The sequence below is a fragment of the Homo sapiens genome, chromosome 13 (genome assembly GCF_000001405.40).
Source record: "Homo sapiens chromosome 13, GRCh38.p14 Primary Assembly".
Taxonomy (NCBI): domain Eukaryota; kingdom Metazoa; phylum Chordata; class Mammalia; order Primates; family Hominidae; genus Homo; species Homo sapiens.
Genome location: NC_000013.11, coordinates 112,443,037 through 112,456,221, shown reverse-complemented (window position 1 = coordinate 112,456,221; position 13,185 = coordinate 112,443,037). Strand labels below are relative to the sequence as shown.

Here is a 13,185-nt window from a genome sequence, read left to right as displayed (position 1 = left end):
AGACTGCCGGCTCCTTGAGGACAAGAACTTGGAGTTGCTTCCATGTTTCCTGTTGCTAAACCAGGTTGGCATAAAGTGGGTGCTCAGCAGATGTTTACTGAGCCGAATCCCATGTACCTACAGGCTCCAAGGTTCCCGCTGTGATCATTCAAACTTATGGATCTCCTTTGAGGGACAGCTGGAAGTTGTTTACAGAATCAGACATGGAGACTTTCTCCTTCAGACGGAATCTAACTGGTCAGTTTTAAAGCTGTGGCATTCCCTGGCGGGGCCACTGTGCTAGTTCTCCCCATGGCGGGCTTTATAGGAAGGCCCCCTCTTCACACAGAAGCCGGGAAGGCGTGCCTCGGTAAGGGTATAGCCCTGAGTGTCTGCACCCCCCAAAACCCCTGCTCCCTGCTCGTGTGTGACAATCTGACTTCAGACAGTTAATCTTTCTGGCTCAAGCATTTGGAATGGAGATGGACTGAACCCACTGGGCGTTTTAGTTGCATGTAAGCCGCACTCCGGGCTGAGCTTGCCGAGCTGACTTCACTGTCTGGGCTGCCTGCCTGGGGTGCTGGGAGCCAAGTGCCCATTTCCAGAAGCTCGCTGTGCTCCCCCAGGTCAGCTCCTGTCTGCCTCACCTCACCGTGGTCTCCTTTTCCTAATGCGTGATGGAGACCAGCGTCGTGTGGCATCCATGGACCCCATCGAGGACCTTTTGATCAGTGGTGGGGTTGGGATGGGGACAGGAGGTGGTGGGGTTGGGATGGGGACAGGAGGTGAGCTGCTCATGGTGTTGATTTCTTCTCCTCGCAGACACAAGGAGATTCAGAGGTCCTGTTTGTGCCTCTGTCTGCTTTTTCTTCCTGGAAATTTTCTTCCTGGGATTCAGGACCTGAGGAAGGTCTGGGTGTGGCCTCAGCTTTGGGCCATGAAACCCATCTGGACAGATCAGGCTGACCTCTGGGAAGCATCTGTGTGTGGTTTAGACAGGGAGAGAAGCTGGATGGAGGGGAGTGGTGCTGAAGTGGGTTGAGCCAGTGGGGGTCAAGCGGCTAAGCTCCAGAGGGGGGTCTGGGCTGCAGGCGAGGAGGCTTCCTGGGGTCCTCAGGCGGCCCCTGCACCCCCAGCTCAGTGGGCCTGGCGAGGAGGCTTCCTGGGGCTGTCAGGCGGCCCCTGCTCCCCCTGCCTCAGTGGGCCTGGCTGTCCCCTTAGCACAACGGCGAGTTCCAACACTGGATCCCTGGGAGAGCATCTTTTGTTTGCTTTTGTTTAGTTTAAAAATAGATATATTAGGAATCAAGATGAGATGAGGTTAGTCCCCAAAGTTAAATTCCTCTTCCTTGCCTTTGAGCTGTGCCATTCCGAACGCGTCTCCTTTAGTCCCCCTAGGATCCGGTCTGGGCTGGGCTTGCGGATGCCAGGCCCCCCCGATCCACCGTGTCAGGGCCAGCTCCATCTGTCCTGTGTCAGTGGGGTCCTCAAACAGGATTTATTTTAAATCATCACTGCAGGAGATAATCTATTTTCCATAATAATCTGCAGGTAGCTTTACTAATTTCCTCTGGAGCGGGGATGGAGGCTCGCCTCGCTTCCGAGAGGCTGGGGCCGCGCCTGGCTGCACTGATGCCTTATCGCCCGTGTCCTCACGCAAGGCTTCACTTTGGTGTCAGGATCTCGGGGGCTCAGAAATGCGGGTTCATTGTGGGTGGAGGGTAAGCCCTTCCTCAGCAGGTCATGACCAGAGGTGGTCGGACGGCAAGGACTGCTCTCCAGGCACGTCCAGCAGGGACAGTGCGGCCGGGCCCTCCCCTCGGCCGCTGGAGGCTGCAGCCCTCAGGTTTCTGGCAGTGACAGGCGTCCTCCAGGGAGGGTCTGAGTCGCACCCTCCACATTGGCTGAGGACCCAGCTCATGCTGTGGGAGAGGAGGAAGCTTCCATGGCTCCAGGACTGTCTTCCTGAAGGAAGTTCGTGGGGGTGGGTGGTGGAAGGGGGTCCGGCCCTAATGGGGCTCCCGTTGTCCCTCAGCACGGCCTCTGCTGGGGGTGGTGGCCTGAACCCTCACTCCAGGGGCCCAAGCTCCAGGTAGACGTGCCCAGCTTAGCTGTGTGGTTGCCCTTGGGAACCACAGTGGGTCGGGAATCAGGCGCCCCAGGGATGTCTGGCTCTACACTGTCCCTCCCTCCCACAGCACAAGGCCTAGTCCCCTCCCTGCCCTGCCCAGAGCCCCCAGTTCCTGCACTCGCGACCCAACTCCTTTGTCCCCACTGACTCCTTTGTCCCCACCTTTACAGACTATCCCTGTCCCTCTGGCGACCCCGCTTGTGCCTGCTGCTTCCTGCTGTTATCCCTCCCGGTACCACATTCTAATCACTTGCGATTAGATCGGCACTCAGGCCTCTGGACACCCGAGCATGACTTCTGGGACAAGCTGTGTCTTCTCCCCCAACCTTTAAAAATGTGAACCATGATTCAGGTGGTGAATAAAAGCTGGCACGGAATTAAGCGGTGGATGGATGCGACATCTTTATCGCTGTGTCCTGATTGTGGTGCAGGACGGTCCTCGCGGTGCCGTGGCTGTTTCTGTGGCGGTCGTCGGCGCACTGTGGTGGTGACTGTGGCTCACATGCACCCTTGGAGGCCCTCGGAGGTGGCACCACATCTGCGGACACAGCAGCCCCGGTGGCCTCACCCTCTCACTGAGGATTCCCGCCATCACCTGGCGACATCCCCTGAAGATTCTTTTTAAGAAGTCTGTGCCCTACACGGCAACATTAGGCTGTAGGCGTCACGCTCCTGTGATTGTGAAGTCAAGCGACCGCGGCGTCAGGCGGGGCTCCGTGCTGTGAGTGTGGCCAGGCTTGCAGCTGTCAGTGCTGGGGAGAAGTTCAGGGGTCCGGGCATCTGGGCGGTCCTTCTCTGATGCCACATCCTGGGAATGGAACTCCCTGAATGGAGGGGCTTCTCTCCGTTTTCTCGGGGCAGTTTTGTGATCGGCATTGGCCTTGTGTTCCTTCCTTCCCTCACTGATGTGCACCCGACGCCTGCATGTGGACTGACGGCCTGGGGTCAGGACGCTGCTGGGGGTCAGGGGTGTGTGGTGGGCTGTGGCGGGGTGTGGTGAAGCCTGCCTGGCCTCGAGCCCGGTGGAGGCTCTGGGAAGCCCCCTGCTTCCTAGTCCTGACGGGGGCCGGTCTCCACCTTCCTTTGGTGTTCCAGAGACCTGAAGCGGAGGGGCCAGTGTGGCTCCAAGGTGGCCGGGGCTGTGCGGTGGGCTCCGGAGCCCCCGAAGCACTCTTTTTCTGCAGAACCGCATCTGGGCCTCCGGAAGGAAGCTGCAAATGAACCGGCAGCAGCTTCCCCGATGGCCCTGTCTTGGCAGCCCTCATCCGGGCAAGGACTCTGTGGGAGAGCAGGGCCACTCTCTGTGATGCCACCGCCGGGATGGCTGAGCTCCAGCGTGGTGCCCGTCCTGGGTCTGAGGGCCCGGCAGCCGCCCTTCCGTCTGCTGCCAGGAGTGTGTGTGCCCAGCACTGGAGAGCAGTGAGAGGCACTGGTTTCCCAGCACACAGTGTGCGCCTGCCCGCTCACTCTCCCGGCTCCGTGTGTGCGCCCCTCATCAGCCAGGTGCTCGCTTTCCCGGCTCTGTGTGTGGGGCCCTCACCGGCCAGTGTGTAGCTGCATGGTGTTTCTGGGGGGCTGCTGGCCTGCCAGGCATGGCCTCTCAGTGGCCAGCATGGGGTCTGGGGGTGGTCTGGGATGGCCAGGCGAGGGGCTAGGGGCTCGGGGGCAGCTGTCAGCCCTTGGGTGTCACCCTGCACTTCCTGCCCTGTGGCCACATCCTCCCACCCTCTTCTCTGTACATCACGCTGAAGAACAAACAAAAAATCTCACCAAACGCGTGTTGGAGGTGGCCAGGCTGGCTCCATTCCGGGGGCCCTGGTGATAGGTTTCAGGATGGCAGCAGCAGGGCCGTGGGATGGGGAGAGTGGACTCAGCTCCTACCGCCGTGAGGATGGGGAGGGAGGGGACAGGACGTGTAACCGTGGACGAGGAAGGGCCAGGGATGGAACACCGTGAACAGGAAGCATCAGGGTGAGGGGCTCCGACAGATTTGATAGGACCACGGCTGATGGCCGGCAGGGCTCCCATGACGCTGATGTGCCGGTATTTTCACCCAGTGGAGCGGCTCCCCCTCACGAGGACAGAGCGGGAAGCCCCAGGTCAGGCCTCATTAGAAAGGGCTCAGGAGCCAACTGAGTGTAGGCCAAGGAGAGCCTCTGTGGGCCGACGTGCCCACCTCCATCGTCAGCCAGGGCCTGTCCATGGCACCAGTCCCCTGCCAGCCTCCTGATGCTCTCCAGGCGGGCAGGGGCCTTTCGGGCCAGGGGAAGAAAGTGACACCCGCCCTTCTGTGCCTGGCTTTGGGTCACCTGTCCCCGTTCCAGGGCAGCGTGGCACAGGTCTGAGGGCTCTGCTGGTCACTCAGCCCCTGAGGCAGCCCCGCCAGCCCAGGCCCGAGCACCTCTTCCCTCCAGGCTGGGCACAGCCAGTCCCCACCTCCCACCTTCTGCCTCCGCCAGTCCCGGGACATGGAGTCACACCTTGGAGGAGATTCACACTGTGTCATCAGCTGGCGCGCAGGTGACTCCGGAGCGCGGATCGTGCCAATCGGCCCAGGGAGGCTCCGCGCCGTCACCATCTCTCCCCACGCCCTCCGCCCATCCCTGTCCACCCCCTGACCCACACACCCTCGGCTCTAACCCGGGATTTCGGGTTTTGCTGCCATTTAGAAATGACATTCTTACTTGTTGAATTCTAAAATGGAAGCAACACAGCTGTCTAGTAAATCAAATTTAGTGAATAAACGAGCCGTTCTTGTTTAGTATTGTCTTTAGGTCTTATTTCTCATGTCTCCTTTCATTAGAGGTTTTCATTGTAATCTCTTCGGCTCAACAAAGACAACCAAATCTGCCCTGTTAATTTTGTAATTGAGGTCTATGCAAACATATTGCCATAGCCATGGAAAATGTTTACTCTTTTTCAGCTGAACACACAGTACATTTTTAGTTGAATAAGATCCAACTGAAAGGCATAAATCAAGCGTTTAAAAATAGAAAGAGGATCGCAAAGCCTAGTATGTCAATATGCTCGTCAAGTGTTAATGCAGAAAGGCAGAGTTAGGCGGCCCCGGGCGCTGGAAACTGCGTTTGACCTCCTCCCTGCCCCTCTGCGTCTACAGTTCAGTTCTCACAGAGGCCTCTGGCGGGAGGAGCCACCATTTAGAATACAGATGGCCAAAGGAAACACCATTTTTAAATAGTTACTTTAAAAAAATCCTTTCAGATGAAAAAATCTGCTATGGTTGATCTTTCTGGTGTTGGTGAAAGGAAAGAGAAATCTCCGTGTGGGGAGGCCCTGGGCAGCGTTCAGGGACCGAGCCCTGTGGAGCGGAAAGGCTCGAGACTGGACCTATCTTGCAAAAACAAGGCTCCTGTTAGCAGAATCGAAGTCCATTGAGGAGCTGGAAGAAGACAGGTCCCTTCTCTAAAGCACTGTGATTAGCTCAAGCTCGTTGGATTTGCACTTTTGGAGAAGATGTGTTCAGTGAGGGCTGTGGAAGGCTAGGCAGGCTGGACGCCCGGCTAGAGGCCAAGCCTGCAGACGGCAGAAAGGCGAATGCACCTTCCAGATGGCCGCCTTTCCTGAAGAACTGCCTGGGGTTGCATTTGTGGAAGCCAGCCATCCTTCATCAACAAAGCAACAAATATCGATTGTTCAATTTACACATTTTCATTTTCATAATTTTATTTGTACACATTTGAACACCCTGAGGTTTGTAAACATTTAGTAACTTATCCAAAGGTCACAGGACTATCCACGCTTCAAATCCGGGCCCCTGTCCTGGACTTGCAGGGGTGCAGGATGAAGAAACCCCAGCCTGCTGTGAGGGACCTGAGGCTGCTGGGAGAGCTGAGAAGTGTGTGCGGTTGCAATGACGAAGCGTGCACGGTGGCTGGGAGAGCTGGGAGGTGTGTGCGGTTGTGATGATGAAGTGTGCACGGTGGCTGGGAGAGCTGGGAGGTGTGTGCGGTTGTGATGATGAAGTGTGCACGGTGGCTGGGAGAGCTGGGAGGTGTGTGCGGTTGTGATGATGAAGTGTGCACGGTGGCTGGGAGAGCTGGGAGGTGTGTGCGGTTGTGATGATGAAGTGTGCACGGTGGCTGGGAGAGCTGGGAGGTGTGTGCGGTTGTGATGATGAAGTGTGCACGGTGGCTGGGAGAGCTGGGAGGTGTGTGCGGTTGTGATGAAGTGTGCACGGTGGCTGGGAGAGCTGGGAGGTGTGTGCGGTTGTGATGATGAAGTGTGCACGGTCGCTGGGAGAGCTGGGAGGTGTGTGCAGTTGCGATGACGATGTGTGCACAGTGACGGCACTGCAAAATGTGACGGAGGCTCCGAGCAGGGGTTCCTAGGGGCCGGAGGCTGGGTCTACCCTGGTTGGGGCTGGCCCGGTGGAAGGAACGAGAAAGACAGTCTCAGGAACAGTGACGTGTGGAGATGGGAGGATGAGACACGCCCCCAGTACTGAAGGAGACCCTGGTGGTGGCAAAGGCGGGTTGGGACAGAATGTGGGAGGCTTTGAACATCAAGACACGAGTCTGGACTCATTTATAGTCAGTATTTTTTTATGAGTTAAACAAAAAGACGTGTGGCATTTTGGGGTCTGGACACTTTTAAATCAATGACTCCTAAGTGTTTACAAAGCAGGAAACAAGGTTTGAACCATGAGCTTCAGGAGCAGGACGGGCTCCTGGAGCCTGAAAGGAGCCCAGTCTCCCTCTCTGTGGGCGGCCGGATGCTCCTGACTTGGGTCAAGAGGGAGAGTCGTTCTCCTGGTCTCTATGCCGGGCTGTGACCACTGCCTGTCATTCAAGATGACCCTTTCGGGGTGTTGAGGACTGAGGCAGCTCTGGAATGTCACCCTACCTGTAACCTAACCTGCCCAGCTTCATGGGTGCTGGGAGGAGATATGGGGCTCTGAGGTCAGGGAGGGAGGACAGCTTGTTACAGCAGTGACAGTGGCTGTGAACCCGCAGGACCCCATGTCTACTCAGCCCCGTGAAGGGACCAGTGCTGCCGCACACACCATGAGTCAGGGTCATAGGAGAGCACCCCTGAGTCTTCTGCCACAGAGGAAGGCACTGCCTTTGCCTTCCAGGGCTGTATTTGCTTTCAGGCGTCCTTGAACAGGTAGGCCTGAACAAAGGGGAGGCCAGTGTCTCGCTACATGGGGTGTATGGAAAATGTGCCACCCGCAGAGAATTGCCTTCCAGTGGTGAATCGGTGGCAGCTGGCAGACCCAGCTGAGCTGTGCTGTGGGTAAGCCAGTGGTGGGAGAGGCCTCGCCCCTGGAAGCATGGTGCCCATGTGTTGCCGCCACGTCCCTGGGGTCTCTGGGCTGGAGTTCCAAAGTCGTCTTCATCATGAAGAAGCACATCCAGGCTATGGGCAGAACTGTCTTGAAGCCGTCCAGCTGTTTAAATTCTACATTCTGTGGGGCATGCACGGGGTTGGCTTATTCAACCTTCCTTCCATTCTCCCTGTGGTTGGAGAAGACAGAGAACAAAACAACTCATTTCCAAGATGCTTGGCAGCTGGGCAGAGTCCACCAACGAGAGGCACCCAAAGGCAATCCAAAAGACAGGCGGAAGAGGAGCGCATCTTGTTGCCATTGTGCCATGTTTGCTGGAAAGCACCGTTGTTGAGATGTGAGTATTTCTGCGTGATGTCCGTTCTTCAAACCCCAGACGCAGTTGGATGGCAGCGGATGGCAGCCGTGACCCCGCGGGCTCCCGGCTTCTGCTCCTGGTCCCCAGCTGGCTCAGGTGAATCCATGGTCAATGGCAGCCCCAGGAATGGCGGCCCCCATGATGGGTGGGCTTTACATTGTCCTGCAAGTAGTTTCTGGGAGCCACAGCCAAGTGAGAACTTGCTTCAACTTTCCAGTCACTTTCAGAGACACCAGCATTACCTCCTTTCCTGCTGAAGACACCTGGAGTGGCTTCCCTTCTCTGCCTCAAACCCTGACTGGTTCACATTCTTAGTTCATACCTTACTGTTGTTTACAAATCACCTGCAAACTCTTGGCCACAGTGCAGCGGGGGCGGGGCTGAGCACTCTGCTCCTAGGGTGTGGCCATCGTGGCTGAGCACTCTGCTCCCAGGGGGCGGTCAGGCAGGGGTCCGGGATGGAGAGAGGGCGGCCCCATTAGGGGCGATGAGATGCTCTCGAATCTGATTTGATCATCCCCACTCCTGCTCCTCAGCCCCCTGGAGCCGCATGTCTCCTTCAAGGCTGCTGTGATGTGGATTTTCACCTGGCGTCCATGGATAGCCACGTCCAGTGGGGAGGGGTGTGGGAGCAGGAGAGCCCCTCGGGGGCCCCACCCTCCTCCTGCGCACGTTGCTGCTGCTGGAATGGCAGGACACAAGCTGCTCCAGACTCAGTGAGCCCTCATTAGTGAGCTTTCTTCATGGGCTCAGGAAGATCTACGGCCCTTTGTCTACTTTTGAATAACAAGTTATCCCAAATGCAATGGCTTAAAGCACACATTATGGCACAGTTTATGGGGTCGGGAATCCAGGGCCTGTAGCTGGGCACCTCCTGCCCAGGGCTTCTCCTGAGGACAGCAAGCTGTGGCCAGGCCCAGGTCTCATCAGAAGGCTCAGCAGGAGAAGGATCCACTTCCACAGTGGGCTCCCACTGACTGTGGCCAGGTTCCTTGTCACCTGGGCTTTCCAGAGGGAAGCCATGGCCTGACAGCTGCCTGCCTTGGAGTACATAAGAGAGAGAGAAAGCATGAGAGGCCCTGAAATGGAAGCCACAGTTGTTTTGTGGCCTGAGGTTGGAAGCAATATTCCATCATGTTTCCATATTCCACGAGTTCAGTCCGTGCTCAAGGGGAGAGGATTACCGGGGAAGTAGATCCCAGGGGAAGGGGTGGCTGGGCTCATTTACGGCTGCCGACCACCCTGGACTTTGGGAAACAACGCAGCCCGTGTCTGGGTTTGCGGCATGGAGACTGCTGCGCGGTCACCAGGGCGGTTTGGATGGGTGGAGGCGGCAGACGGGACTGACCTGCCCCTGGAGGCTGTGGTGGAGTTACTGGCTGGAGTGGGGGCCCAGTGTGTCTGCGGGGAGGGAAGGCAGGGTGGCTGGGGAGTGCTGGAGTAGGGTCCCAGGGGCTGTGTGTCTGCGGGGAGGGGAGGCAGGGTGGCTGGGGAGTGCTGGCCATGGGCCTTGGGGGTGTCCGGGGAGTGCTGGTCATTGGGGAGTGCTGGACATGGGCCTTGGGTGTGGCCTTGAGCCCGGCCCCTGCAGAGGCGGTGCTCCCTGTGCTGGGCACTGCATGGGGCTGAAATGTCTTCCTGTGGCCACTGGATTCCTTGGACCAGCAGAACAAGCCTGGCCCTCGTGGCAGCTGCAGTTGCTTGTGCACACACACCCTGTGGGTCCTTTGCTGTCTCAGTACATGAGAAACACCCTGGACTCCCCCGTTTCTCGTTGGACGTAACTCTCAGTCCCAGCTGACTGCTGTTCTCCTTAACTCACAGCAGCCCCTCCTGGGACCAGCTCAGAGGTGCCTGGGAGAGGCAGTGCGGCTTCTAGACACCCTTCTTTGTAATCCAGCCACACGGGTTGTATTGGCCACGGAAGCCCCATCCACCGCTGAGGACTGGGCTTCCTGGGCTCGCTGCGGAGCCTCCCCCATCTGCCCCAGACACACCTGCCTCCTGCATGGTGGCCACTCTTGTCGGACTCTGTGCCTGTCCCCACATTTATTCTGTTAAACTTTTCTTTGCAGTACTCAGCCTGTTGTGCTGGGTCACTGTTCAGCTGATTAAAAATGGCAGCTTCCCTCAAAAGCAAATGTTATTGTAGCCCTTGGGTGTCAGAAAAGAGCAGGCAAACCCAACCTAAAGGCTCCTGGGCTTTCTGCAATTGTCCCCGTCGGCGTTCAGTAGGAACACGCATGGAGTGTGGGAGAACTGGATCGTGCAGGTGGGAGTTAAAGGCAAGAGGGGATCCAGGAACGCCGGGAAGCTGCTGCCTGGAGGGGGTGGGATGCTGGCAGGGGCTGAGCCTCCCCAGGACACAGCACCTTCGTCACTCTGACCACTGGGCCCCCTGCCCCACCTCTGACCACTGGACCTGAGTGGGGTGTGTCTCCATTCTGTGCCCATTGGCTCCTCCCTACTCCTCGCCAAGGGAGAGACCAGCCCCTCCCATCACAGGCTCCTTGGAGGGCTGGAATCCAGCTCAGCTTAGTTCAGCAAAAGACCATGAACCCTACTGTGTCCAGGTACAGGATCGAGGTGAGTCTAAACAGAACAGACCCCAGCGTTGAGACAGTGACAGTGAGCCTCTGTGAACACCTGCGGGTCCCCAGCCCAGCTTCTCACTGTGAAATCTTGAGGGGCAGCGGGAAAGTAGGGGCCGACCTTGCTCCAAGTCCCTAACAGGGAGCCCGCTTCCCTGAGGGTGAAGGCAGAGGGGCTCAGCTTGTGCGGGACCAGGGCGGGGAGAGCCCGGGGAGGGAGGGCGGGCGTGGCGGGCAGGGCACGGGGAGCGGACCTTGAGCGGCCGCCTGCCGCCCCCTCCATGGGGGGTGCAAGGGGTGGAAGCTGTGAGTGTGGACACGAGTGAAGCGGACGCAGGCAGGGCAGCCTCAGGCTCCTCGAAGGGGGCTTTCTGGTCAGAGTGGGAGGGGTCTGACATCTGTGGTTCTGTGGTCGCACAGCCTTTACCCAGTATTGAAAAGTAATGTTGCCTCGTGGGGAAACGGAAATGGCCAGCAAGGGTGGGTTCACCTCAGTCCTCCTCACCCGTTCACCTCAGTCTCCGCACCCCCATCCTGCTCTGTTCACCTCAGTCTCCTCACCCCCACCCTGCTCTGTTGTTCCCCTCGGTCTTTGAGACAGGACCAAACGCAGAGGCGGCGCTGGTGCAGCAGGGTCAAGGGGCAGCCTGGGCACCAGCCTCTCAGCCTCCCGGCTAGTCAGCCCCGAGCCGGTCCCAATCTGTCGGTGCTTCCTTGGGTCCTTCTCCAACCAGCGTCCTTTTCAGCAGCAACAGGGAGGCTGCAGAGGCTTCCGGGCTGTGGCAGGCTTGACCAACAGAGCCAGGGGCCAGAGTTGCGAGCGATCATAGCCACTGTCACTGAGAGGGCTTTCTGGGTCGCAGCCGCTGTCGCTGAGGAGGCTTTCTAGATTGTGGCCTCTGTCGCTGAGCGGGCTTTCTAGATGACAGCTGCTGTTGCCGAGGGAGCTTTCTAGATCATAGACACTGTTGCTGAGCGGGCTGTCTGGGTTGTAGCCACTGTCGCCAAATGGGCTGTCTAGATTGTAGTGTCTGTCGCCGAGCAGGCTTTCTAGGTGGTAGCCTCTGTCGCTGAGCGAGCTTTCTAGATTGTAGCCTCTGTCACCGAGGGGGCTTTCTGGATTGCAGCCTCTGTTGCCGAGCGGACTTTCTAGGCTCAGTCACAGGCCACATGCTCTGCGTTCGCTGCCTCCTCTGCTTCTGCCCGCTTCTCCAGGGCTCACCCATCCTGCAGATGAGGGGCCGAGGGCTCAGAGGGAAGGGCCCGCGTACGCTGGGTGCATCGCTGTGTACACAGATCCCGTGGTGAGGCACGGTCCCAGACCCCCGCTTGACCCCAAACCCCAGTCTTTACCCCCACCCAAAACCCCCAAGCCCCATGTCTCCCAAGCCCTTTCACAGTCTGCTCTGCCCACCGCCCCCACTCTCATGGCCTCTGGTGCAGCCACAGGGCCTTGGTAATGGGGGACTGTTGGGGGGCTATCTTTTCGGGGTCTCCTCTGTGGCCCCATCTGCCGGGGAGGAAAGGTCACGGGGGCCTGTGTGGGGCAAGGCAGCATGAAGGGCTTTGCTGTGGGGTCATGGGTCTGGGATGGGCTCTCGGCCACCCTGCGGCCTCCTGTCAGGTGTGCACAGCTGAGCCTGAACTTCCCGGACGAAGGAGGCTGCTATTCCCGGACCCGCCATAGAGAGGCAGTGCAGGACAGGGCTTGAGGTCCCGGCCCAGGCGCTGCAGCTTCTGGGCTCAGCCTGGGCTCTGTCCACTGACAGATCCTGGCTTCTCCGCCAATCCCCCTGTGTTTAGCGGGGTGAGGATGGGAGGGTGAGGTGATGGTCAATCCTCATGTCAACCTGGCTGGGCCATGGCACCCAGATATCTGGACAGACGCCCCTGGGACGCGGCTGTGAACAACTTTTTCTATGAAATTAATGTTAATTCAGGGGACTTTGAGAAAAGTCGTCTGGCTGTGGTGTGGGTGGGCCTCATCCACTCTGCGGAACGTCTTAAGAAAAAGACTGGGGTCCCCACAGAAGAGGGAATCCTGCCTGCAGAGAGCTCTGCACTTGAACGGCAGTGTCGACTCTCTCAGGTTCCCGACCAGTTCCTGAAAATCTCCCCCTCTGTGTGATGTGTGTGTGCGTGTGTGGGTGGTCCCACAGCTTCTGTCTCCTGGAGCCCCTCACCACTGCAGGCGTGGGGCTGCCCTTGGGGCTGGAGGGTGCGTGATGACCACAGGGTGGCGGTCGTGTGTCCTCACTGCCTGGTGCCGTCGCCTTCGGGTGGATGAGACGTGTGGCTCTGGGTCAGCCCCCAGAAGTGGCGGAGGGGTCCGTTGTTCTTATTATTAACTACCTCCTTCACTTCCTCAGACCTACTGTTTTCGACGTCTAAGTCAGCCCTCACCACCACCCCACGAGCTGAAAGATCTTGCCCCTGACTTTGAGACTTGAACCCTGGAACTCCCTTCCTGGAGCCTGCGTTGCCTGGGACAGGGGTGGCCAGGGTGAAATTGGCAGCACCTGGTTGCTCACTCCCGGCCAGCCCTGCCTGCTCCACCCAGCCCCGGGGACGGATTCCTGGTGTTTCGGGGCTGTCTGCCGGCCATCTGCTTGGTAGGGCCGTCGGAATCACCTTTTACAAAGCTCTTCTATCAGTGATTCAGGATCAAGGAGTAAGAGTGCTTTCTGGGTTGAAAAACATCGTGTGGGATCTTTAGCTGGAAAACATTTTATTACAAATATTTTTCAAGTCTATGTGGCCTCTTAAAAAGTCCCATCTTTTTAACACAGTGTTTCCCGGGCCAGCCACGTTTAGCCTT

General features: G+C 58.1%; 1 long non-coding RNA gene across 3 annotated transcripts in view; it reads left to right on the top strand.

Annotated features, from left to right (window-relative positions):
• The window catches only part of LOC105370372 (uncharacterized), a 97,399-nt gene that overhangs the window by 19,915 nt on the left and 64,299 nt on the right, over positions 1-13,185 (top strand). The window lies entirely within an intron of this gene.